The sequence below is a fragment of the Homo sapiens genome, chromosome 2 (genome assembly GCF_000001405.40).
Source record: "Homo sapiens chromosome 2, GRCh38.p14 Primary Assembly".
NCBI classification, from domain to species: Eukaryota; Metazoa; Chordata; class Mammalia; order Primates; family Hominidae; genus Homo; species Homo sapiens.
Genome location: NC_000002.12, coordinates 137,093,972 through 137,121,971, shown reverse-complemented (window position 1 = coordinate 137,121,971; position 28,000 = coordinate 137,093,972). Strand labels below are relative to the sequence as shown.

Genomic DNA, 28,000 nt, shown 5'->3' with positions numbered 1-28,000 from the left:
TTTTGTCTGGTTGCATTCTGGGCTCTCAGAGCTACGTAGCTTTGGCATGGAATACTGACATCCAGGTTGCAGACAATTTTGGTCTGGTCAACAGTCAAACAATTCCTTTCTCTGTGCTATCTAAAAAACAAAGAGAATTCAATCAAACTCAATATATCATTCTGTTGTGTTTAAGAGTTTCCATTTTGAATTCCAGAAACATTTGTTATTTGCCTTTTACATGAAGAGTATTGACACTTGGGAATACAAAGAAGAATGTCAAGCATGGCCTTTAAGGGCCTTTACAGCCAAATGAGTGACAAAGACTATTATAATAATAGTTAGAAATCAGGAAGAAGTGATGTCCTACAGGAGTATGAACTTAGGGCTATAGGATTAGGAAAGCTGAACTATTACTTGTAAAACCATTGCCAAAATCCATATTCATATCTAGTTCTAGGTCATTCATAATCTCCCTTCTCCACGATGCCACATGCTTTAGTTTCAGCAACACACATTAGTGAATTTTCAGTTTAGTCATGTTAACTTTGAAGAAATATATAACACATTGCACATGTTCTTCCTCTTCAGGAGATCAAATTAAACAGGACTCACACATCATTCAAAAAGTAAATTTTTCCATAAGCCATTTATTTTTCCCAGAGCAACCTCTACTCAGTGCTAGGCTTTCTCCTCAAATATCCTGACTCTCTCATTCGTCCAGGGTAGCTCTCTCCTGCTCTTGTTTAATGAGGTGCATTATACCTTGAGCTAAATAAATTAGGAAATTTTTAATAACAAGAACAGTCTGATAATTTAATGAACACTTAAAGTAGGAACTCTTCAATATTTTTGCTAAGCCCATTAATTCAATAAACATTTCCTATATCACACTAAGATAAGTTTGTTACACTTGATTTTAAAAATTAACTAAACTTAGATACAAATGCAATCAAACAGAACCAGTAGAAACCAATCTCACTTTGGACTCTTTCTGACTTCGTGTTTCTTTTGTTCCTTAACTCTTCCCAGCATTATATTTTTAGAGAGAATATTTGAACTATATATGTAGATATATGGCTTATAAAGTCTATGTTTGCCTCTGCAAAAAGAGTGGGGATTTAAAGATGGAACACACGTCATTACTTTCACTAACTCTTCTACTTCCTTCCATTTACAGATAACAATTTGGAAAGGAAGCTTGTTTGCACTCGGCCTAGGTAGCGTGACACGCTAACTATTCTCACTTAAGAAGAAGATGGAGTTAACACTAGAGATCTGGAGCATCTGTGAGTCTAGGATCCTGCATCAATAACCTGGGGAGAAATGGCTATCAAGTCCTAAACTCTACCTTAGTGTGTAGGTTCAAGATATAAGCAAAGAGATAATGCAGCCTAATGGAAAGAAAAGATCCCTAAGAGTTTGACTTAATAAGTTTCTTCCTCCTTCCTCCCTGCTCTCCCCTTCCCCATCCCCTCTCCCTTCTCTCTGCTCCATTCTCCCTCTTCCTTTCTTCCTCTTCCTCCTCCTCCTTCATCTTTCCTCCTCCTTCCCCTTCTTTTTCTTCCTCCACTTCCGTTCCTCTTCCTTCTTGCAAAAAACACTGGAGTAACTGCTTGTCTTCACCCATCTTCTCATTCCCTCCCCTCCCCACACCTTTTCATCACCACCTGTCATTGTGAGGAATCCAGAGATCTGCATGTTAATAATTCTCTTGTGCTACCCTTTGCTGACTTTCTCCTACACCTATGATTTCAATAATTGAAGAGGTTTCCAAGGTTCTTACAAGCCAAGAACCTTATCTCTCTTGGCCTCATGTGAACTGTCATCAAATATCCTGCTGTTAATTAGCAAAGGTTATTTTATCCCGTTATCTCTGCTTCTCTCTTAGCATAAAGCAAGAGAAAATGCTATAAGCCCACTTAAACAGTCTCATTGCTCCTCTAAGGGTTGACATCAAGGGAAGTTCTTAGTGTACTACTTTCCTGACACCTTATTCTCACACCCAAATGACTTTATTGACTTTAAAACCAATTTCTAAAGACAGGTGAAAGATATTTCCAGTCTTTCAAATGATGGTGGAATATCTCCTCCAATTGCCCCTTAAGATATCAGCTAAGAATATAAATTACTTTATTTCATAACTCAAAAACTTCCTGGATAGTCAGATACATTTACACATAGGATATGATAACTCATAATTTTCTTAGCATACTAATGTTTTTACAAGCTTAAGTACAGTCAATAGAAGATTTCCTTTCTGTTTAAAAATCTACAGTAGGGGGAAAAAAGGCTGTAGCACATATCCATATTCTCAAAAACAAAGTCTTACTCCAGAATAGCATAGAAGGCCTACCTTTCCACCGTCATTGTAACTTTCTTTTACCCTGAGCTCTCTTCACACCAGTGCACAGGCTGCTACTGAACACAAACTTTTCCATTTCTTTTCATGTGTTCTCCCACACCTTAGAACATGCTTATGGACTCTCCAAGCTCCTTTTAAATATCACCTCAATGAAGATTACTCTTGGGCATCAATAAATGGATTAAACCATGTTAGATATGTAATCATCCAAACACTTAAGTCACTGTAGCATACGTAGTCAATAGTTCAATTATTATTACAACTAAAAGCCTGTAAATTACTGGGGACACCCTTATGACAGATGTACTTTAGTGCATAGACTAACTCATAACAGGCACATAATTTTTTTAAACAAATAAATGTTTGATTGTCATGTAATTTTACTCATCAAATCAACATATTCAAAATCAAATTAATGAACTAGAAGACTGGTACAACATTTATGTGGTTTACCACATTTCCTTCAAAGTCAGAATTAAAACCCAGAACCTGAAATATATTAAGTTTCCATATACTACTCATGATATGGTTTGGCTGTGTCCCCACCCAAATCTCATCTTGAATTATACCTCCCATAATTCCCACAAGATGTGGGATGGACCCAGTGGGAGATAATTGAATCATGGGGGTGTTTGCCCCATACTGTTCTCATGGTAGTGAATAAGTCTCATGAGATCTGATGGTTTTATAAGGGGACACTCCTTTTGCTTGGCTCTCATTCTTTCTTGTCTGCTGCCACGTAAAACATGTCTTTCCCCTTCTGCCATGATTGTGAGGCCTCCCTAGTCATGTGGAACTGTGAGTTCATTAAACCTCTTTTTCTTTATTAATTATCCAGTCTCAGGTATGCCTTTATCAGCGGCACGGAAATGGACTAATACAACTTAGCATTCCAGAATGTGTGCCCTTGTGTGGTCATGTACTCTTAATGCCAACTCTGAGGCCAGAATGAAGACAATCTTATTAGTGCAGAGGGGGCAACTAATGCATTTAACAATTCAGAGCTAAACTGTGTTCCATTTTTAATATGCTATCAGTAGAAAATCTGAAATATATATATTTTAGAAAATTCAAGCAATGTTCTGCTCCACTACAACCACACCAAAAATTTTTCTGGATTTTTAAATATAGTTTATTGCTTTAATAAATTTTGCTTTACCATATACCAATATATGACATATCTACTTCTATGCCACTTAAATTTATATTTGTTGATATCCTAATCTCTAGGCCACATTCCCATACATGGAATACATTTGCCCTGGTCTTTATTAGATTTTGAAAGTGCATTCCTTGATTCATGTTTTACTTTCTGAGAAAGGACTGTGGAATGCAAACTGAGTGGCTTTAATTTTATTTGAGAAAAGGCAAGAAGAAAGTGTTCTTACCAAATTCAAGCTTTTATTTTGCAGGTAAGCATCACTTGTGCTGCTGCTTCTGATTTATAAAAGAGAAACACTATTCTCTTTAAAACAACAAGTGTTAAGCAAAATCATAAATAGCTCTCTACGTTTTCATTCCCAATTCTATTGGCTTGGCTAATATTACTGGTAATACATACATTGATTGTTACAGCACTATTTTGGCTGCATTTAAAACACCACATGAACAATGAACAACAGTATCAACTAAATATGCTATAGGTGTTATTATACTCTTGCGGCAAACATCCTGAATTGAGGTTCAGTGAGGAATGAGACATCACCAAAAATAAGTCATCAACAGGACCATATCAATGTCAGGATTTAGCTTCAGCATCCAGCCTAGGCCAAGAGATCTGGAGACCTTTGGGAGGGAATTAGCATTTTTTAAAATTATTATTATTATGGCATCTAGAAATTATATGCATTCTGTTACAAGAAGGATCCATGGAAATGAAGTCTGTTTTTCCCCCCCAAGATTGTAAATTCCTCTAAAATCAGGTGCTTGGAATCAGAGCTGCTAAATCACCAGTGGATGATGGGGTTTTGTATGGAAGAAAAGTTAAGCAATCACAATCACACTCCAGAGTGAACAGAGAGAGAGTATCCTTGAGTCTAGGGGAAGATTAACCTTGTGGGGATGTCAATAGTGACTCACAAAGGAATTTCCAAAGTCAATACTACTAAAATGCTTTCTCCCTCCAAAGTATGAATATCTAACATAACAACAATAATATTAATAATTTGATGTTCACAGAAACTGAAATGCTAAAAATGTATCCAATTTTGGCCTTTATTATTGCATTGACAGATAAAAAATATTTATATTCTGCTTACTTCACTGGGCAAATACTCACAGGTTCCTAACAATAAAAATTCAATTGTTCCTCTGTGTTTAATGGGGGCCAAGAAGAAATTCTCATTCCAGATTTGTCAAGGTACATCTATAAATGATAACAGTAAGAAGTGAAAGCATTTATAAGAAAGGAAAGTAATGGGCGAACAACCCCGCTGGTTCACTTCCACACAAGAGCAAAATAAAACCTTTGATAACAACTACTAAGGTAAGCAGTAAGCTGTATACAGTGCCTTTATGGCAGCTGTGCTGTGTTATCCAGCATAGTTTTACTCACTATATTCAGCTCTGTACAGGAGTATACAGTCGTGTTACACATCTATGTATTTACATCCAGGTCCCACATCCAGCCTTTCCCCCTGAGAACTGGACTATCAGACTTACAGCTTTCTAAGTACTTTCTGTTTTCCTGTGAACACAGATATTAATTTCCAAGTGTGCTTTGGCCTAAGACATTTTCCTCCTCTTTAGATGCTTGGAGTAGATTGTACTCGGGCTTGATAGATTGCTCACTCTGCAATTAACACCCCTTCTCTATTCCACCCGTACCCCCACACTATGTAAGCATCTAATTCCCAATTCTAGAACACCAGACTTCCACTTTCCTGCTAATTATAATCTTCCTGCCCAGTAAGTTTCCATTCAAAAAGCTAGAAAGACTAAGCCTGAAGAAACTTTAGGAATAGATGATCCATAAGAAAAGCTATTTTTACAAAAGAAAGTTTAGAAAGATGAAAATGTCAATAGCAGATTAAAAGTTGAAGCTGAAAAATAGGTAGGTCATAATGCATCAATTCTATACAAGTTTTATTTATATGTTGATCCCTGAAGACCCTCCAACAGTAGACAGTAGTCAAAGAAAAGAAGAGAGGAGCTGGAATGGAAAGATCACCAAGGTTTGAAAAACTAACCTGGAGCCTTTTAATCTAAATTCTGTTTCTACAAATTCAGAGGAGTAACTATAGTCATGTTTTGTCCTGAAATAAAAAGTGTTTAAGCTATAATTTTCCAAAGTGAAATTAGAGAAGGAAGAAAATTCAATCATTATTTTCAAAAACAGCTGTAGCCCTGTCAATGTGGCCTTTTAGCACCAGTTGTTGAAGCAAAATGCTAAGCAGTCTGTAAGAACCATCCCATCAGGTACCTTATCTGAGGCTATGGTCACAGATGCCTATGAACTCTGCAAAGCTATGTCACACAAAGACATCTAGCATGACAAGCTTTACAGAATTGAATGGATGCATTACCATAGCAAGAAAATTTGCATCTTGCCTTCCTAACCAAAGCCCACAGTGGAAATATGTCCTCGTACCTGGCAAGCCCAAGGAAACATTCCCACCTTTACCACTTCTGCAGGGAGTACTGCTTGGGTTCTCCAATGTGGTTAGAACAGGTCACAAATTCTTCTAGAGTGGAAGCTTCCTTGTCTACTCATGACTTCTCAACCCATTGACTTACATAAATCTGAGCAAGTTTCCCAGTCTCTAAATATTATCACTATCCACACTCTGAAACAAACACACTATTGCTGGGTTACACCCACCAATTAGAGAGCTTATTATGGAGAAAGCTATGGTTTTCTCCTCTTCCTTCTTTTTCTTCAGAAAAATTAAAACTTGGCGACAAAACCCTGGATCCTTGACATTTGAAAGGAATATGTTTGCAGAAATTTCCACATTCAAAAATTCACACACATAAAAATTCCTTTGAGCAAAAAATTAAAAAACAAAAAAGAATGCCATTCATTCATTACTGATTCATTCCTGGCATACCAGACCCTTAGCTTGTAGCATTTATCTATGCTACACACCCTAACTACATTTTCTCCTTTAACTTTCACAGTGACTCTTGGGAGACATATTATTTTTGCTACTATTTTTAACTATCCCAAGTGTTACAAGTGGAAGAACTTAGGGGCGGCATACAAATGGTCAACAAAATAAATATTAAATGTGTGAATGCTAAGTGTCACTTATTTCAAGAAGAATACTTGGAGAGTTGGAGAGATTTTCCTTCCAACCAGCAGTGCACCATCTGTCCCGGAACTGGCTGCCTACCTTCCTTGGCCCTCAGTGCGGCAGCTGCTGGTACGCTCTGGGCACAGTACACCTCCCGGGTCTGGATCCCACCGCCACACACGGGTCCCGTCACATGCCAGTGGGGATCCTGCTGCTCGAGGAGGAGAGAGACTTGGCATTCTTTCCATTCAGAAGTTCTCCAGGAATACCTGTTTGGTTTGGTTTATTTAAAAGAAGAAGAAGAAGTAAGAAAAATATACAACTCTGAGGAAAACTTAAGTCATGACATCAAGAGGCATAATCTCTCTTTCTAGGGCCAAATCTTTGCCTGTGGATAAAGAAGTATACTAGCTTTGAATTACTAAATCCCTTTTATTTCCTAGAAAAAAAAAACATCCAGCAGCCCATCATGACAATAGCACAAGATGACTGGACTAAAGGAACGTGATATGGATAAACAGTGAGTGTGTCTCAGCCTTGAAGCTGGAAGAGAGTGAGGGAATAGAGAGAGGAGTTGGAAACCGAATGAGCCTAATTCTTGATAGCTGAACTTGTCATGGGATTTCACTCCACAGACTTTCAGATGACTTTGTGTGAAAGTTGGCTTTTCTTTCTTAATAGGACAGTGTGTGAATGTGTAAAGTCGTAAATATATTATTTTACATACAGCTATCTCCAACTTTTCAGTCTTCTTGATGTAAGAAACTCTTTACTCATTTGACTTCATGTCATTCACATAAAAGTATATGTATTAAAAATGAGTTAATACCGTGCCACTATATATAACTGATTAATACTTTTTTACATATGCAGCCATACTGTTATATAAACTGATATAGAAATATGTCTCCCTAGTTTATAACTGGTTAATACTCAAATACACACATACATCCCCACAAATAAGGGGGAAAACACAATGGAGTTTGTATACAATGTACAGAAAACAAAACAACTATCACACTACTACATTCATACCTAGAGAATTATTTTAGGCAGAATTTCCTTTTGTGGATTATTACCGTATTCTTTAAGCCCACAGCAGTAGTATAACCTTGCGGCATTCGTAAAAACACTGAGAGACTCATTAAATTCTGAACAATAAACAAAGCCTAAGTAACATTGACATATCTGCTGTCCCATTTCATATTTAAAGAAAAATTTATCAGTTTTGTGATTGTTTAAAAGAAAAAAGAGGAAAAACCAGCCATAAAAGTAATCATATGTCACCAAGATCCTGGCTTTACAAAAACTAGAGTAAAATTGAAATCAAGTAACAGATGTCAAAATAAGAAAGCAAATCTCCAAGAAACCTCATAGTGACAAATCCCTAACAATGAATGTCATCATTCTAAAAAGCCTGAAAGCTAAGAATCAGCTGAGAATCATTAGTCTTGTGAAAAGCCCACCATAGAAAAAGGATTTGGACAGTCCTCTGGGATTTGTTGTAACATGAGTTTTTCTCCCTCAGCCTCACTACTTAATTTTCACTTTTTTTTTCCCTAGGCTTATGAATTAGTCACTCAGGCAGACAAGAGTTTGGAGTGCAGACTTCAGGTCCTTCCTATCCTAGGTGAATATAAATAACAATATATTTCTGGCCGGGCACAGTGGCTCATGCCTGTAATCCCAGCACTTTGAGAGGCTGAGGTGGGCGGATCACCTGAGGTCAGGAGTTCGAGACCAGCCTGGCCAACATGGAGAAACCCCCATCTCTACTAAAAATCCCAAATTAGCCGGATGTGGTGGCACATGCCTGTAATCCCAGCTACTCGGGAGGCTGAGACGGGAGAATCACTTGAACCCAGGAGGCGGAGGGTGCGGTGAGCCAAGATTGCACCATTGCACTCCAGCCTGGGCAACGAGAGCAAAACTCCGAAAGAAAAAACAAACAAACAAAAAAAACACACACACAAAAACCCCACAAAACAATATATTTCTAATTCCTGGGTATGAGAAATAAAGAGAAGTTCATTTCTTCACAGGGATAGTTCTTTTCCAGAGCCAGGGCTCTGAAACCCTTTCTCCTCACAGAGTCAGTCCTTACCCTATTCTTCAGGGCCACCTCAGCAGAAGCCTTGTTTTTCAGATTTCCAGTTTCAGGGCACAGATAGATCTTTCATCCAGGGCAAAATGAAATGGGGTATGAGAATGTTGGGGTGGATGATTACCAAGATCTCATTTCAAACCCTCTTCCTCCAAGGATTCCCCAAAAGAAGAACTTTCTGGCCTGAACAAGGGGGTCAGATACAGCCACTGACTCAGAGACTTCTATGATATCATTAACAAAGAAGACACGCAAAAAGAGGGTAGTGTGGTACAGATGACAAGTATGCTTTGGAGTCCAACCAACTTGGTTTGAATCAGAATTTCACCGCTTTCTGGTTAGTGACTTGGGTCCAATTTTGTTTTCCTACCTGTACAAGGGAGATAATAATACCAATCATTGAGCCTGACATATAATAAATATTCAATAAGTGTCCATTCCCTTTCTTCTTGCATCCTTCTACATGTGCCTTTTGCCCATTGCTGATGTGGAAAACACACACACACACACACACACGTACATTAACATTTTATTTATGAGGATTTCATTGATTTCATCAAAAGTCTTAATATTAGAGATCCACAGTTGCCATGGTCTAAGTTCCAGCAACAGCAGTTCAACAAAGAGCAAAAAAGAAACATAAAGTTTAGATTATAGTTATTTTTTGCTTGTTTGAAAGGAATGGGGCATTCTGTATAAATTGCTTTTACAATTAATTTAACATGACCCTACAAGAAATAGCAATGGAGAAATTTGGGAAGTTATTATGAAGGAAAATGAAAACAAGAGTTTAATGACTATATCTGTATATAAAGTAACAAAAAACTTGTTGGTAGCTCATTAACCAAAAACACCCAAGTTCCATTCACTGGCAAATGATAAATCCTTTAGAGAAGACATTTATCACTATTGCTATTTTTTTTTTACCACCTCAGAGAAAATATCAACCTAGCAAGAGGGAGAGGAAAAACCACACCAATAAACTACTTCTATATTCCTTTTTTTAAAAATATGGGTCTTTTCATAGTCTTTGCTCAACCTTTTTTCTTTATTTTTTTCAAAAGCCCTATCTACGTTTAGTCACAAATCATCCCGGCAGCCATGAAAACTGAACATCCTGAGCTGCTCCAACCAGAGAAAGTGTCGCTAGGATCTGACAGAATAACAAATCAAAGGAGCCCACTCAGCTAAACGTTACTCCCTTTCTCCTTTAGAAGTTGTTACAGCGATAGTCCTCCAGGCTCCAGAAAACTCAGCTTTCTGATGCCTGGAACACTCTCTTTAATGGCTAAGCCCATGTCAAAGACCAGACCTTTTCAACCTCCCATCTCCCAACTCTGATGCCTTTCAAAGCAGCCTCATTTGGCCCTCTTGGTTAAAAGGGAATGTGGGGAGTTGCAAAGGCCGGCGTCCTACCTCCTCTGAGATGAAACTTCGAAATTGGCTATGGAAATGCCTCAAGTAGAGTAAATGGCCATGGAATGAAAGAAATGTCAGTTTCCATAGCCCCTTACCAACGTGAGAGTGTGAATCAGTGTGCTTTTTTCAAAGTGTCTGGCTAAACAGAATAAACAAGGCATTAATTTGTTTGGACTACTAGGGTATCAGGGCAGATCCTCCAAGTAGTACAAATAACAGTATTTTCTGCCTGCTTACTGTATACCAGGCACCGCACTAATGAACTTAGGGGCATTACTTCATTTAATCCTCCCAGCAACCCTATGAAGAAAATCTTATTTCTCCTTTTACAGATGGCAGAATTGGCATAAAGAGTAAGTAACTCTTCCAAGGTCACATGAGTGAAAGCAGGGTTCAAAGCAAGGTTTACCTGATTCTAAAGCATATCTTCATAATAAAATGACACTATGGCAGATTAAAACGGTAAATGGCAAACCCATTTACTCAATCAGATAGTCCAGAAAGCTCAATCAAGTAGTACAGAATGCAACTTCAGTAGACAATGGGTAGCTACCTGTCTAGCCATTACAAGGACAAGTGAATGTTGATCTTGGTCCGAGGAAGTGTGTTCTGGGTGTAGACAAAAATATAATCTGCTGACCAATAATATTTCACACTGCCAAAATAACTTCTCTTCTAATCTCAAATACAAGTACAGTTCGAGAATATATGATAATCATTTTATAATGAGAGCCCTGTGGTCACCTAGGGATGCATTTCAGCTCTTTCAGGAGATAGTCATGTCTCACTTGATGACAGAGATATGTTATGGAGAAATGTGTCACTAGGCAATTTCATCCTTTTGCAAACATCATAGAGTGCACTTACACAAACCTAGATGGTGTAGCCTACTACATACCTAGGCTATATGGTATATATTGCTCCTAGGCTGGAAACCTGTACAGCATGTCAATTTACCAAATACTGTGGGCACCTATAACACAATGGCAAGTATTTGTGTATCTAAACATGTCTAACATAAACAAGGTACAGTAAAAATAAAGTATTACAATCTTATGGGACCATCGTATATGCAGTCCATGGCCCACCACTGACAGAAATGTTATGGAGTGCATGGCTGTAATTGCAAGTTAAAAGAGAAATAAAACATAAGTAAAGGAATCTCTAATTGTGTAAATTCAAATTCCCACTAAAAGATGCAAAAGATAACTTTTTGAAAAAGAATGTCTTTTCAAGGCCCCAAAATCAAATTCCCAACATTGCTCCCTGCTCATTCTAAATGTTAGAGAAACCTGCCCTCCATTTATGTAAAAACAGCTCTGATGTCCCTACTTTGAGTGAGAGAGCACATTGTCAGCCATTTTGAACCCCAAACCTCTGAGAAAGGGAATGCTAATAACTCAAATACTGGATGCACAGGAAGAATAACTCCTACAAGAACATTTCAGTTAAGATAAAGACATGGATGGAAGACTGAAGCCTGAAAAGTGCTAAAAAGCAGGTTGACTAGACAAAGAAATAGGCCTGTCCAAACAGTAAGTGAATCACTTACTCATCCATGCATTCACTTATCCTTTCTTTCAACAAGTAATTGTTGAGCCACAGCTAAGCACCGAGGACAACAGAGACACAGCAGTGAGAGACAGAAAGCCCCTGACCTTGGGAAGATTACCTTCTGGTGGGATAGACAGACATAAATGCATCAATACATGGCATGGCACCAGTTACCAGGTGGGGAGAGAGAGATGGACGAGGAGAGATATTTCAGTGCCATGACGAGGGAAATCCTCAGAGTCCTGAATAAAATGAGGGAGTGAGCATAAGGATGTTGGGCAAGTGGTGTTCTGGGCAGAGAAAAGGGCAGCCTGTCCAAAGTCCCCAGGGAGGCAGAGTGCCCAGCACCATCTAGAAATAGCACAGAAGCCAGTGTGGTTAAGACAGGTGGGTCAAGGGGAGAATAGTAGAGACAGGATATAAAGAGTAGTCAAGAGCCACGTTATGTGGAACCTCATAGGCCAGAGCAGGGGTCCCTAACACCCGAGCCACAGACCAGTACTGGTCAGCGGCCTGTTAGGAACCAGGTCTCACAGCAGGAGGTGAGCAGCAGGTGAGCAAGTGAAGCTTCATCTGTATTTACAGCCACTCCCCATCACTCACATTGCCACCGAGCTCTGCCTCCTGTTAGATCAGCAGCAGCATTAGATTCTCACAGGAGTGCAAACCCTATTGTGAACTGCACAAGAGAGGGATCTAGGTTGCGCGCTCCTTATGAGAATCTCATGCCTGATGATCCATCACTGCCTCCCATCACCACCCCCAGATGGGACTGTCTAGTTGCAGGAAAACAAGCTCAGCGCTCCTACTGATTTTACATTATGGTGAGTTGTATAATTATTTCATTATAATGTGATAATGATAGAAATAACATGCAAAATAAATAAAAGTAATGCACTTGAATCATCCTGAAACCATCCCCCTTTCCAAGTTCATGGAAAAATTATCTTCCACAAAACTGGTCACTGGTACCAGAAAGCTTGAACACTGGGCCAGAGGATAGATTGTGAGTGTTATTCCAAATATGCTGGAAAATCGTTGGACAATTTTGGGAAGAATGGTAACATGATGATGTGATTTTAATTTTTTAAGGAACACCTGGCTACTGAGGGAAGTAATAGGCTGTGGGAGCCAGGGAGGTGGAAGAAATTATACATTTAAAGGTCTTTGCCAGTCTAGGAGAAAGGATGGTGGGTTCCACTGCAGCAGTCATAGTGAATGTAGGGCAAAGAGATTAGATTCGGGATATATTTTGAAGGTGGAGACAACCTTCTAATGGATTAGACCTGGAATGAGAGAGAGTAGTGATGGATGATTCCAAATTTGTTTTTGACCCACGTATTAGCAGCAAAATTTCCTGGCACTGAATTCTTAGGTAAGTCAGCTCAGGAAAGGGAACAAAATCACAAATATTAAGGACACCACGTATTATAGCTGTGAAATTTCATTTTTCTTCATTTACCTCCTACCATCTGTCTTCTGAACTTTTATCCCCCCATGCCTGATACTCATTGCCCAATTTCTCTATGTTTAGTTTATAATTTAAGTCTACTCAGGAAATGGTTCACGAGTGTATCTGCATGAGTAGAAACAGTTAAGATTTAATATGTTATCATTCTCAAAAGGTAGATGCAGCTTAAAATGACAAATCAAAATTAATCAAAGAAAGGACCCTCCTGTAACTGTGGAAATACACGTCCTCATAAAGAGATACAGGACACAAACTTTGGATTAGAGAAGCTGAGTCTAGACCGTAGTTAGAATTAAACAACTCAAGTGGCTGGCTTGACTTCCTGATAGTGATGCTGTCCCACCGAAGGAATCACATAATTAAAATATTTTCTAAATTGAGGGAGGAAAGGGGGACAAAAGAAGGAAGGCATTTATAGCTGTGAAGCAATAAGTAGAGGCATCCTAAATTAGCAAAGCCAAAATTAGAAAAGTAGGCACATTTAAGAAACTATTCTTAAAATAGAACCAGGACCATCACAGCCAGACAGCAACCTCTGTCCTTTGAAATCTAAACTTTATCACTTTCATAAAGGCTTGGAATTGCTTAAAAGTGTGGGTTTCTTTGCTCCTTCTTCTAAAAGCTTAGATTTAAAGCAGAACAACACAAAATAGAATTTTAAGTGATTTAATGATGACAGATTGAAAGAATAATTGCATTAGTTAATGGTCATGTTTTGACTGAGCACATATAGATTTGCAAACATTCTTGGAATTGAAACCCTAGTGCAAGGTATTCAAATTAAATGCATGTGTATATTAAAAATCAGTGTACTGCAGCATGACTAATTTATGATAATGTCTGTTGTCCTTTTAAAGATGTAAATGCATTTAGAAAAGAATTAACTTGTCATTTTTTGCTGAACAGATGACTAAAATAAAGAGAACTGATCAAGCTTTATACATTTTATGCTCCAGTAATTTTTTATTGGATAAAGTGGGACTATTGATTACGGAAAGCTACTGTGAAGTGCAAATGACTTTGCCAGCCAAACTCCACACATGTATTATTAATAGACTTCTATCGCCATATACAGCACTTAGCAGTACGTTAACTTTCTTACACTAACTGGGGAGCAAATCTTCCATCCAGGAGGTCTTTAAGTGGCACAATAGGGACTCGTGAAATAATACCTCAGTAATAGACAAATGCAATAAAAAAGCAAGAGTCTTCTATTGAAACAATTCCAGATTCTTTGAAATCTATTGTTTCTTTTCTAAAACAGTACCTGGAGAATCCAGGTCACGACTCCTCTACTTTTGTTATTAGTGGTATACTTCAAATTCTGGGATACATGTGCAGAACGTGCAGGTTTGTTACATAGGGATACACGTGCCGTGGTGGTTTGCTGCACCTGTCAACCCATCATCTACGTTACGTATTTCTCCTAATGCTATCCCTCCCTTAGCCCTCCACCCCATGACAGGCCCCAGTGTGTGACCTTCTCCTCCCTGTGTCCATGTGTTCTCAATGTTCAACTCCCACTTTGAGTGAGAACATGCAGTGTTTGGTTTTCTGTTCCTGTGTTAGTTTGCTGAGAATGATGGTTTCTAGCTTTGTCCAAGTCCCTGCAAAGGACATGAACTCATCCTTTTTTATGGCTGCATAGTATTCCATGTTGTATATGTGCTACATTTTGTTTATTCGGCCTATTGATGGGCATTTGGGTTGGTTCCAAGCCTTTGTTATTGTGAATGTGCTGCAATAAACACATGTGTGCCTGTGCCTTTATAGTAGAATGATTTATAATCCTTAGGGTATATACCCAGTAATGGGATTGCTGGGTCAAATGGTATTTCCTGTTCTAGATCCTTGAGGAATCACCACACTGACTTCCACAATGGTTTAGCTAATTTACACTCCTACCAACAGTGTAAAAGCATTCCTATTTCTCCACATCCTCTCCAGCATCTGTTGTTTCCTGACTTTTAATCGATCACCATTCTAACTGGTATGAGATGGTATCTCATTGTGGTTTTCATTTGCATTTCTCTAATGACCAGTGACGATGAGCTTTTGCTCATATGTTTGTTGGCCGCATAAATGTCTTCTTTTGAGAAATGTCTGTTCATATCCTTTGACCACTTTTTAATGGGGTTGTTTTCTTCCTGTAAATTTGTTTAAGTTCCTTGTAGATTCTATATATTAGTCCTTTGTCAAATGGATAGATAGAAAAATTTTCTCCCATTCTGTAGGTTTCCTGTTCACTCTAATGATAGTTTCTTTTGTTGTGCAGAAGCTCTTCAGCTTAACTACATCCCATTTGTCAATTTTGGCTTTTGCTGCCATTGCTTTTGGTGTTTTAGTCATGAAGTCTTTGCTCATGCCTATGTCCCGAATGCTATCGCCTAGGTTTTCTTCCAGGGTGTTATAGTTTTAGGTCTTATGTTTAAGTCTTTAATCCATCTTGAGTTAATTTTTGTATAAGGTGTAAGGAAGGGGTCCAGTTTCAGTTTTCTGCATATGGCTAGCCAGTTTTCCCAACACCATTTATTAAACAGGGAATCCTTTCCCCATTGCTTGTTTGTGTCAGGTTTGTCAAAGATCAGATGATTGTAGATGTGTGGCATTACTTCTGAGGTCTGTGTTCTGCTCCATTGGTCTATATATCTGTTTTGGTACCAGTAACATGCTATTTTGGTTACTGTAGCCTTGTAGTATAGTTTGAAGTCAGGTAGCGTGATTCCTCCAGCTTTGTTCCTTTTGCTTGGGATATCTCTTGGCTATATGGGGTATTTTTGGTTCCACATGAAATTTAAAGTAGTTTTTTCTAATTCTGTGAAGAAAGTCAATGGTACCTTGATGGGGATAGCACTGAATCTATAAATTACTTTGGGCAGTATGGCCATTTTCATGATATTGATTCTTCCTATCCAGGAGCATGGAATGTTTTTCCATTTGTTTGTGTCCTCTCTTATTTCCTTGAGCAGTGGTTTGTAGTTCTCCTTGAAGAGGTCCTTCACATCCATTGTAAGTTGTATTCCTAGGTATTTTACTCTCTTTGTAGCAACTGTGAATGGGAGTTCACTCATGATTTGGCTGTTTATTATTGATTTATAGGAATCCTTGTGATTTTTGCACATTGATTTTGTATCCTGAGACTGCTGAAGTTGCTTATCAGCTTAAGGAGATTTTGGGCTGAGACAATGGGGTTTTCTAAATATACAATCATGTCATCTGCAAACAGAGACAATTTGACTTCCTCTCTTCCTATTTGAATACCTTCATTCCTTTCTCTTGCCTGATTGCCCTGGCCAGAACTTCCAATATTATGTTGAATAGGAGTGGTAAGAGAGGGGATCCTTGTCTTGTGCAGGTTTTCAAAGGGAATGCTTCCAGTTTTTGCTCGTTCAGTATGATATTGGCTGTGGGTTTGTAATAAATAGCTCTTATTATTTTGAGATATGTTCCATCAATACCTAGTTTATTGAGTTTATAGCATGAAGGGGTGTTGAATTTTATTGAAGGGCTTTTCTGCGTCTATCTAGATAATTATGTGGTTTTTGTCATTGGTTCTGTTTATGTGATGGATTACGTTTATTGATTTGCATACGTTGAATCCGCCTTGCATCCCTGGGATGAAGCTGACTTGATCATGGTGAATAAACTTTTTGCTGTGCTGCTGGATTCGATTTGCCAGTACTTTATTGAGGATTTTTACATCAATATATCAGGTATATTGGCCTGAAATTCTTTTGTTGTTGTTGTGTCTCTGCCAGGTTTTTGTATCAGGATGATGCTGGCCTCATAAAATGTGTTAGGGAGGATTCCCTCTTTTTCTATTGTTTGGAATAGTTTCAGAAGGAATGGTGCCAGCTCCTCTTTGAACCTCTGGTAGAATTCGGCTGTGAATCCGTTTGGTCCTGCAATTTTTTTGGTTGGTAGGCTATTAATTATTGCCTCAATTTCAGAACTTGTCATTGGTCTATTCAGGGATTTGACTTCTTCCTGGTTTAGTCTTGGGAGGGTGTAAGTGTCCAGGAATTTATCCATTTCTTGTAGATTTTTTAGTTTATTTGCGTACAGATGTTCATAGTATTCTCTGGTTGTAGTTTGTATTTCTATGGGATCAGTGGTGATATCCCCTTTATCATTTTTTATTATGTCTATTTGATTCTTCTCTCTTTTATTCTTTATTAGTCTGGCTAGCCGTCTATCATTTTGTTAATCTTTTCAAAAAACAAGCTCTTGGATTCATTGATTTTTTTGAAGGGCTTTTCGTGTCTCTATCTCCTTCAGTTCTGCTCTGATCTTAGTTATTTCTTGTCTTCTGTTAGCTTTTGAATTTGTTTACTAGTGCTTCTCTAGTTCTTTTACTTGTGATGTTCTTTTTACTTGTGATGTTCGACACTTATGGTGTCGGTTTTAGATCTTTCCTACTTTCTCCTGTCTGCATTTAGTGCTATACATTTCCCTCTAAATAGTGCTTTAGCTGTGTCCCAGAGATTCTGGTATGTTGTGTCTTTGTTCTCACTAGTTTCAAAGAACTTATTTATTTCAGCCTTAATTTCATTATTTACCCAGTAGTCATTCTGGAGCAGGTTGTTCAGCTTCCATGTACTTGTGTGGTTTTGAAAGAGTTTCTTATCCTGAGTTCTAATTTGATTGCACTGTGGTCTGAGAGACTGTTTGTTATTATTTCTGTTCTTTTACATTTGCTGAGGAGTGTTTTACTTCCAATGGCATGGTCAATTTTAGAATAAGTGTGATGTGGTGCTGAGAAGAATGTATATTCTGTTGATTTGGAGTGGAGAGTTCTGTAGATGTCTATTAGGTCCACTTGGTTCAGAGCTGAGTTCAAGTCCTAAATATCCTTGTTAATTTTCTGTCTCGTTGATCTAATATTGACAGTGGAGTGTTAAAGTCTCCCACTATTATTGTGTGGGAGTCTAAGTCTCTTTGTAGGTCTCTAAGTACTTGGTTTATGAATCTGGATGCTCCTGTGTTAAGTGCATATATATTTACAACAGTTAGCTCGTCTTGTTGCGTTTATCCCTTTACCATTACGTAATGCCCTTCTTTGATTTTTTTTATCTTTGTTGGTTTAAAGTCTGTTTTATCAGAGACTAGGATTGAAACCCCTGCTTCTTTTTTTTTTCTTTCTATTTGCTTGGTAAATATTCCTCCATCCCTTTATTTTCAGCCTATGTGTGTCTGTATGTGAGATGGGTCTCCTGAATACAACACACCGATGGGTATTGACTCTTTATCTAATTTGCCAGTCTGTGTCTTTTAATTGGGGCATTTAGCCTATTTACATTTAAGGTTAATACGGTTATGTATGAATTTGATCCTGTCATTATGATGCTAGCTGGTTATTTTGCCCTTTAGTTGATGCAGTTTCTTCATAGTGTCAATGGTCTTTACAACTTGGTATGTTTTTGCATTGGCTGGTACTGGATTTTCGTCTCCATATTTAGTGCTTCCTTCAGGAGCTCTTGTGAGGCAGGCCTGTTTGTGACAAAATCTCTCAGCATTTGCTTGTCTGTAAAGGATTTTATTTCTCCCTCACTTATGAAGCTTAGTTTAGCTGGATATGAAATTCTGGCTTGAAAATTCTTTTAAAAATGTTGAATATTGGCCCCCACTCTCTTCTAGCTTGTAGGGTTTCTGAAGAAAGATCCACTCTCCGTCTGATCAGCTTCCCTTTGTGGGTAACCAGACCTTTCTCTCCGGCTGCCCTCAACATTTTTTCCTTCATTTCAACCTTGGTGAATCCGACGATTTTGTGTCTTGGGGTTGCTCTTATTGAGGAGTATTTTTGTGGTGTTCTCTGTATTTCCTGAATTTGAATGTTGGTCTGTCTTGTTAGGTTGGGGAAGTTCTTCTGGATAATATCCTGAAGAGTGTTTTCCAACTTGGTTCCATTCTCCCTGTCACTTTCAGATACACCAATCAAATGTAGGTTTGGTCTTTCCACATAGTTCCATGGTTCTTGGAGGCTTTGTTCTTTCCTTTTCATGCTTTTTCTCTAATCTTGTCTTCATGCTTTATTTCATTAAGTTGATCTTCAATCTCTGATATCCTTTCTTCCCCTTGATCGATTCAGCTATTGATACTTGTGTATGCTTCATGAAGTTCTCATGCTGTGTTTTTCAGATCCATCAGGTCATTTATATTCTTCTCTAAACTGGTTATTCTAGTTAGTGAGATTCCTTTAAACTTTTAGGTTCTTAGCTTCCTTGCATTGGGTTAGAACATGCTCCTTTAGCTGGGAGGAGTTTGTTATTACCCATCTTCTGAAGCCTACTTCTGTCAATTCGTCAAACTCATTCTCCATCCAGTTTTGTTCCCCTGCTGGCGAGGAGTTGTGATCCGTTGGAGGAGAAGAGGAATTCTGGTTTTTGGAATTTTCAGCATTTTTGCACTAGCTTTTCCTCATCTTCATGGATTTATCTAACTTTGGTCTTTGATGTTGGTGAACTTCTGATGGGGTTTTTGTGTGGATGTCCTTTTTGTTGATGTTGATGCTATTCCTTTTTGTTTGTTAGTTTTTCTAACAGTCAGGCCCCTCTGCTGCAGGTCTGCTGGAGTCTGCTGGAGGTCCACTTCAGGCTCTGTTTGCCTGGGTATCTCCAGCAGAGGCTGCAGAACAGCAGATTGCTGCCTGTTCCTTCCTCTGGAAGCTTCACCCCAGAGGGGCACCCACCAGATGCCAGTTGGAACTCTCCTGTATGAAGTGTCTGTCAACTCCTGCAGGGAGGTGTCTCCAAGTCAGGAGGCATGGGGGTCAGGGACCCACTTGAGGAGACAGTCTGTCCCTTAGCAGAGCTTGAGTGCTGTGCTGGGAGGTCAGCTGCTCTCTTCAGAGCCTGCAGGCAGGAACGTTTAAGTCTGCTAAAGCTGTGACCGCAGCTGCGCCTTCCCCCAGGTGCTCTGTCCTAGGGAGATGGGAGTTTTATCTATAAGCCCCTGACTGGGGCTGCTGCCTTTCTTTCAGAGATGCCCTGCCCAAAGAGGAGAAATCTAGACAGGCAGTCTGGCTACAGCAGCTTTGTGGCGCGGTGGTGGACTCCACCCAGTTTGAACTTCCCAGCAGCTTTGTTTACACTGTGAGGGGAAAACCACCTACTCAAGCCTCAGTAATGGCGGACACCCCTCCCACCACCAAGCTTGAGCATCCCAGGTCGACTTCAGACTGCTGTGCTGGCAGCGAGAATTTCAAACCAGTGGATCTTAGCTTGCTGGGCTCCATAGGGGTGGGATCCGCTGAGCTAGACCACTTGGCTCCCCGCCTTCAGCCCCCTTTCCAGGAGAGTGAATGGTTCTGTCTCGCTGGTGTTCCAGGTGCCACTGGGATATGAAAATAAACTCCTGCTAGCTCTACTTCTAAATAGCTGCAGAAAAGCTTCTTAAACAATTTTTGAAAAGCTTCCTTAGAGAATCTGTTAATTTATCTGACAACCATTTATTAAATACCTACTATGTGAAGAGTGTTCGGTGCTGTGATAGAAAATCAATGGAAGGCCGGCATGGTGGCTCACGCCTGTAATCCCAGGACTTTGGGAGGCAAAGGCCTGTGGATCACTTGAGATCAGGAGTTTGAGACTAGCCTGCCTGGACAACATGATGAAACCTCGTCCCTACTAAAAATACAATAATCAGCCAGGCATGGTGGCACATGCCTGTAATCCCAGCTACTTGGGAGGCTGAGGTGGGAGAATCACCTCAGAACCCAGGAGGCAGAGGTTGTGGTGAGCTGAGATCACGCCACTCCATTCCAGCCTGGGAGACAGAGGGAGAGTCCATTTCAAAACAAATGACAACAAAAAGAAAACTAATAGGAGAAGATTTAAAAGATGTAACAAGTGATGTGTGTGCTAGAAGGAAAACTTGGACAAATTCAGACTATGATATCATTCCTCACCTTTTTTGAAGTAACCCTCATAACCAATGACAGACAGATTTTTTTTCTGGAAAGCTGGATGCAGCATCAGCAGGATTGTGGAACTGTGGCAAGCTTCCTGGGTCCATCTTGTCCTGGGTGGATGTCCTTTTTTGACCTTGATGATGCCAATTTCAGCTGTTCTTTATTTTAAAATACCTTTGAGTCTGTCATACTTACTATATAATAAAGGTAAACATGGAATAAAGTGCCGAGTGTATAATACTGTTCTGGAGCTACTCCACATTTTAACCTTCATTTATTTATTCCTTCAATGTTTGGTGAGCATTTACTACGAGCCAGGCACTTTTCTAGGTGCTACTCTTTCTAAGGAAAAGGAAACAAACAAACAAAATAGTCCTATTCATATGTATGAGATGATGTGTTGGGACATTACTATTAAGCACTCTTAAAGGACACGATTGTCGTGTTCTGGGCCATCTGTAAGGTTGGTGCAAAAGTAATTGCAGTTTTTGCCATTGCTTTCCACGGCAAAAACTGCAATTACTTTTGCAGCAACCCAATAGTTTTGAAAGAGTACATCAAACAAGATTCTTAAGACAAATAACCTAAGTGAACACAGACTGGAAGTTCTCTGTTTTATGAGTTCTCCAGTGGTTAACACGGTGACAGGCCAAAGCAGGTTTTGAACAAACATCCCTTCACAACACAGCACTCTGTTTCAAAAGGCAAAGGAGGTGAACAACCACGCCAAGATTTCATCTACCATCCTTTTTCTTGGCACTATCCCTGGCTTCAATATTTATCTAAAAATTCATCAACTAATACCCAGGGTTTTCTCAAGAAAAAAGGATGTCTAGAAAATCTAAAATTAGGTACAATGCCTCAAAAAGATGTTAGGGAGAACAAGGCTGGTCTCAGGGGTTTGTTTCACAAGCAAATCAAAGTGGGGTGCAGGGTGCCCAGATAGATCTCTCAGCATAAATTTGCACAAACAGACTTATTTTAAAGGATCTCTAGTCCATGCAAAATAAGGATAAATTAATACATACCAGAAACAAGGCAGGATGAAATAAAAGAGCGCATCTATTCAGTGCCGGACCAGAGTATTGGAACGATATTTTACACGTTGGCTTTTCTGTGTAGTAATATCACAAAAACTAGGTAATACTCTCAGCTGTGCAGCTTCTGCCTTGAGATTTTCTTAAGAGTTTTACTTGGTATTGGTCACTGTCACCATTTAATAGTTCTGTCTTACATTCGATTCCATACTCTAAATGATCATTTAAGAGACAGAACAGCCATTTTCATATGAAAACTGTTGTCTCCCAGTGGGGTCGTAGGAGTTGCTGGTAGGTCATCTGAGGTATCTCTTCTAAGAAAGATGTTTGCAGCTGATGTTTTTCCAATATTCAAATGTGTTACAGTGTCTTTCACCAGAATGGGCCTCTCTATTAAAGCGCAAGAGATCTGGAATCATAGCTGTTCCAGAATCAGGCTGTGTCTCAGCTCTCTGACATGAAGCATTTACACTATTACAGCTCTACGTTCTTTGTCTTTCTTTACCCCATCTACTAAACAGTACTGCCTTATCCTGCAGTGTTAGAATGCTTTTTGCCTTCCCCTTAGTTGAGATCTGGGATATAATATTTTAGATGTTAGTCAGGACAAAGGAAAGTGCCCAAGTGCCAAGGTATCCTAAATGACTCCTATCTCATCATGTTTGGGGACATAGAATAACATGACATCCAAGATCATGATGCCCAGTGACAGGGGACAACCACACCAAGAGCCAAGGTGGCAACTGACAAGCAAATTTATCCTCTCTCTCATGTCCATTCCCTACCCATAGTATACACTGTGAGTGTTTAATGACACACTAGAGGTTGGGGAGGTCCATAAAATTACAAATAGACTGAAGGAAGAGGTTTCCTGGGGTCTATATATGCCTTAATCAAAAACTACAACTTCGAAACAAACTTAAGGCTATACAATGCTAATTTTCATGTAGTTCTAAAATTTCCCAAGATAGCATAACATAAACTGTCTCTGTCTCCTTTCAAGTTAAATTAGTTGCTCCGAAGCAACTACTTGGTAGTGTGGTAACCCCAGGGAATGCTTCCCGAATGATCTCCTGTTAGTTACAATTCCCTTCATGGAGTCATGCCTTAGGGACAGTCACTCATAGTGTTTAGTGTGAAAATGCTGGACAGTCGAGCAATGAGAAGAGTATCCCCCAAAGCCATGCAACTGAAGATTTATTAATATCCAAGGACTAGAACACTTTTCTACCTATACCTTGTTCTTGAAATATTTTTCCCCTAATTTCCTGAGTAATTTATTTACTTCTTTGATTTTCCTACCTCCTCAAATCCTGCTTGTTCAAATGATGCTTTTCTAGGGACATTGTTTAATTTCATCACCTGTGCTGACCCCTCATCACAGCATTCCAGAGCCTCTAGCTTTATCTTACTTGGATGTTTTATTTTTTCCATAGCTCTTCCACCAAGTGGACCATTTATATTATTTATTTGGTGTATTTTCACTAAAATTTAGGTTCCAGGGCATGAGGGAAGTTTGTCTGTTGTGTTCTCTGAGGTATCTCAAATGCTTAACATAGTGTTTGGCATATAGCAAGGGCTTAATGTGTATTTGTTGAAGGAACAAACACATCTCAAATAGCAAAGATAGCAGAAGGGTAAAAGTCAAACGGTATTCTAAAAGATTTTTTAAAAACACTATGAAGAATCAAATAGGCATGCATTTACTTCTTGGAGAGAAATAAGGTGAATTAACTTGCTTGATGCACATGACTTGCTTATGAGTTCTGTGAAAGGAAACGAGAATTTCTGTTCCCTAATAGATTTTCATTTTCCTTTCCCTTGTTAACAATGAATTTTAATCACTAATATAAAACCAAAAGCAAATGTTAGTACATAGCCTCTATGCTTTCCCATGGTAGAGACCACAGTCCAGATTTCAGACAAATTAGAATGTTAGCTGATGTTTAGTTGCTGTTACTTATGTATTCTCCTTCCCACAACCAAGTAGAATCATTAGTTACATTATTCTCCCTATGGAACACTGGTTGATTGGTATTTCAGTTAATTCTCCAATACTCCTATTTCCTACAGCTTCACCGTTTTAAAGGTGTGTGTGTGTGTGTGTGTGTGTGTGTGTGTGTGTGTGTCAAACTTAGCGGCATTTTCAAACAGTAGAACTAGAGGGCCAGGATCATCACCAGTGAAGTCTGTCAGCCTCTATTTTCAGACTCTAATGTTCTATCAAATGAAGATCCATACAGAAACTCATCTTGGGTACATCCTGAATTATTTCTTTCCACATTATCTTGTTGAAAAAAATATGATGCACACAAATGCATGTATATTAGTAGGTATACCCTTATCTTAGTGCATATCTTTACTGTGCCTATCATGAAAGTCAGTGTGATATAATGGAAAGAATACTGGCTTCAGAGTTGAGTAAATTTGTGCTTGAATCTTAATGCCAATTTACATCCCTTTCACTCTCAAAAATGTTCCATGTCACACTAAATATTATTTATATTTAATTAGTTAATTTATAACTCTGCTATAATTATTGGCCAACAGTAGGTACTTGATAAAAGGTAGGCATTGTTTAACAAACATAGATGTAGTTCAGTTTTCTTAGCATTGACAGGAAGGTACCATTCTGACTTCCAAGAGAACTGTAATTGTTATTAAAAAAGAAAATGGAGGATTGCCTATAAATCACAAACATTTTGAAAGTATCAGGTAGAGAATATTAGCTATCCCATGAAAAAAAAAATGAAGGATAGAGGCATCAATGTCAAGGTCATCATGAAACCCAGATTTTATTCCTGCCTGTATACCATTAAGAAGCCTTCTGAAGTAAGCCTCTGAAGGGAAATAAGATTTCCCAATTATCTAGAAGAAATATGTTTCTACCTCATGAAATTATTATTGTATGCTAAGGAAAAGAGATACTCTCTTTCTGGAGGAAACAAATACACCTGCAAATAGCAACAATAGTGGTCATCCTTCTTGCAGCGCCACCTATGTGCTAAGCCCTGGGCCTGGCATTTCACATGCCTGGTCTTCAGCCTTTCTAGCCTGCCACACAGGCAGTATTATCAGATGCATTCTACTGAAAAAGTAAATGTCTTGGAAAAGTTGTATAGCTTGTTCAAGATCATACTGCTAGTAAGTGATGAAGATACAATTTTAATCCAGGTATTTCAATGTTAAAAGGGACAGAGATCTCAGAGTTATGCCATTTTCAAGCTTCTGTTTTACTCCAAAATTAGTGTTTTCAGAGACTCAACACAACACAACGAGGAAGGGTTCTGTGAGGCTGAGAGTTTGTGGTAAAAAGGCATGCACTGCATCTCCATCTTCTGCATTTGAGATAAGGAATGATACAAATCTAAGGGGTCATTTTAGCAAAATATTAACAATAAGAATATAAGGAACTGTGTTCAATCAACACTAGTTCCAACTGGGAAGTGGGGATGTGAGTGGCTAAGAGTTTTGACAACAGAAACCTGCCTTTCTAATGCACACCTCATATCAGGTTTCAGGAAGAGCCAGGCTGCAGCCCACCACCAGAACCTGTTGGGTCAGTAACCCATACCCTTCACACATCACCAAATCACTAATTCATACAGAAAACTATTTTTTTCTTACTTTATTTTTGGCTGCAGAAATGAGTTTCTAGTCATAGAAGTTACAAGAAACTATAAGAAAAATGCCTATCTTGAATAGCTACAGATTTAACAGATACAGTTCAGGGCAGCTGTTCAGCAGGAAATATCACAAATTCATCCCTAACAGATTTCTGTCTGTTATCAAACTGGGCCCACTGTGAGCCAACAACCTAAAGGAAAACATACTGCAGGCCTTTACCCAGGTCTTTGGATAGGTATAACCAATATCAAGATGTTAAAATGTAGGCCAGGCACAGCATGGTGGCTCAAGCCTGCAATCCCAGCACTTTGAGAAGCTGAGGTGGGAGTATCGCTTAAGCCCAGGAGTTTGAGACCAGCCTGGGCAACACAGTGAGACCCCATCTCTATACAAAATAAAAAATATATATAGTAGCACACACTGTAGCACATGCCTATAGTCCCAGCTACTCGAGAGGCTGAGATGGGAGGATTTCTTGAGCCCAGGAGGTGGAGGCTAAAGTGAGCCATAATCACACCATTGCACTCCACCCTGGGCAACAAGAGTTTTTATCTCAAAAAAAATGCTGTTAAAATGTAGCTATTAATATATGTTAAATCCTTTCTCGAATATTCTCTGGCTCCCTAGGGACTCTGGAATTGAAGAACACCACATAGCGGCAGTAAGATTTGAAAACGGAACTGAGTTAGAATCAGGGTACTGCCACTCCTTACCTACATAACTTCAGAAATCATTTAATCTCTCTGAACATTAGTAGCTTCATTTGTAAAATGGAGATGCCATGAATGGCCTCTCAGGTTTTTATGAGAATTAGGTGTGTTGTGTCAGGTAATAATAGCTAATGGTTACTGAGCATTTACTATGTGCCAAACACAGGATGAATTAAGTACTGCTGGTAAACTAAGGCACTCTAATTAAGTACTTGAAGAAATTTGTATAATTAGAAAGTCACAGAAACAGGACTTAAACCAAGGGAGTCAACACCAAAGCCCATGATCTTAACCCGCTCTCCTATGCTGCCAAGTATGGAACTTGTATACTGAGTGAAGACTCAATAAATATGAGTCACAGCTACTTTCATTACTGTTAACATTCCTACAACATTAAATTATGCCTCCTTCACACTAAAGAAGGCATAAAGGCGTAATACCTGGGACATTGCTGCAGAAGTTCTCCTTCAACAATGCAGGCCTCTTTCTCAAGAAGTTCAGGACACTCCTTTCCACCTCCAATAGCCATGTGCTTCACGTTCCGGCTCCTGCTCCTAAATCCTGGCAAGAGACTCCCTGAACGGCATGTCTTGGAGCAGGGGCTCCAGGAGGACCACTGGGAGGTTTCACAGTCTTTGGGCATGATGCAGGACTGAACAGTCAATGGGAAGGAATCTTGAAGGCAAAGGCTGAAAAAAACAGAAGTAGAAAATAGGAGGCCATATATTAATGGATGCAACTAACATTATAAAGTGCCTACCATGAGAAAAAAAACTCTGAAATTTGATTTAAGCGTTTAATAGGAAGATTTTTAAAAAATTTTAGAGACATCATGAAAAAATATTGAAGAGTGTAACATTTGAAGAATGTTTATTTCTTCTGAAACAGTGAAGCTGCTTCACTCTAGCAAGATACACATCTAAGATGGGTCCACTTTTAACAGTATTATCCGTATTATTAGAAATAATGGGGGTCCTTCTAGGCTGCTGTGTTTTTTTTTTTTAGAGATGGAGTCTTGCTCTGTCACCCAGGCTGAAGTGCAGTGATGCAACCTCTGCCTCCCAGATTCAAGCAACTCTCCTGCCTCAGCCTCTTCCCAAGTAGCTGAGACTACAGAAACACACCACCATGCCCAGCTAATTTTTGTATTTTCAGTAGAGACAGGGTTTTACCATGTTGGACAAGCTGGTCTTGAAATCCTGACCTCAAGTGATCCACCCACCTTGGCCTCCCAAAGTACTGGGACTACAGGCATGAGCCATCGCGCCCAGCCCTTCTAGACTGCTTTCACCCATGGTGTTAGCCTACTATTACCATGGATTGACTGGTTTTCAGGTGTCACAACTGTGCTGCACTTCACAGATAACTTTCTCACAACAAGCTCATGAGTTTACATTTTATTATATCCATTTTGTAGATAGATAAAGAAATTTAGGCTCAGAAAGGCTAAGTAATTTGTACAGTATCAAAAAGGTAAATATAAACTAGAATATTCACCTATCCATTGTGGTAAATACTGGGTAATTTTGAAAATGTGCCATTATATTTCCTCATATTGTTAGGCTCTGAGCATTAATTTCCTGATAGGCA

The 28,000-nt window shown here is 39.0% G+C and overlaps 1 protein-coding gene across 2 annotated transcripts in view; it reads right to left on the bottom strand.

The window, feature by feature from the left end:
• THSD7B (thrombospondin type 1 domain containing 7B) overlaps window positions 1-28,000 on the bottom strand; it is a 912,174-nt gene that overhangs the window by 555,747 nt on the left and 328,427 nt on the right. For both annotated transcript variants that reach the window (NM_001316349.2, XM_047445935.1), the window contains exons 4-5: window positions 26,851-27,099; window positions 6,679-6,848 (exon numbers count right to left, since the gene is read on the bottom strand). In NM_001316349.2, coding sequence (NP_001303278.1) covers window positions 6,679-6,848; window positions 26,851-27,099 — 419 coding nt within the window. The remainder of the gene's footprint in view (window positions 1-6,678; window positions 6,849-26,850; window positions 27,100-28,000) is intronic.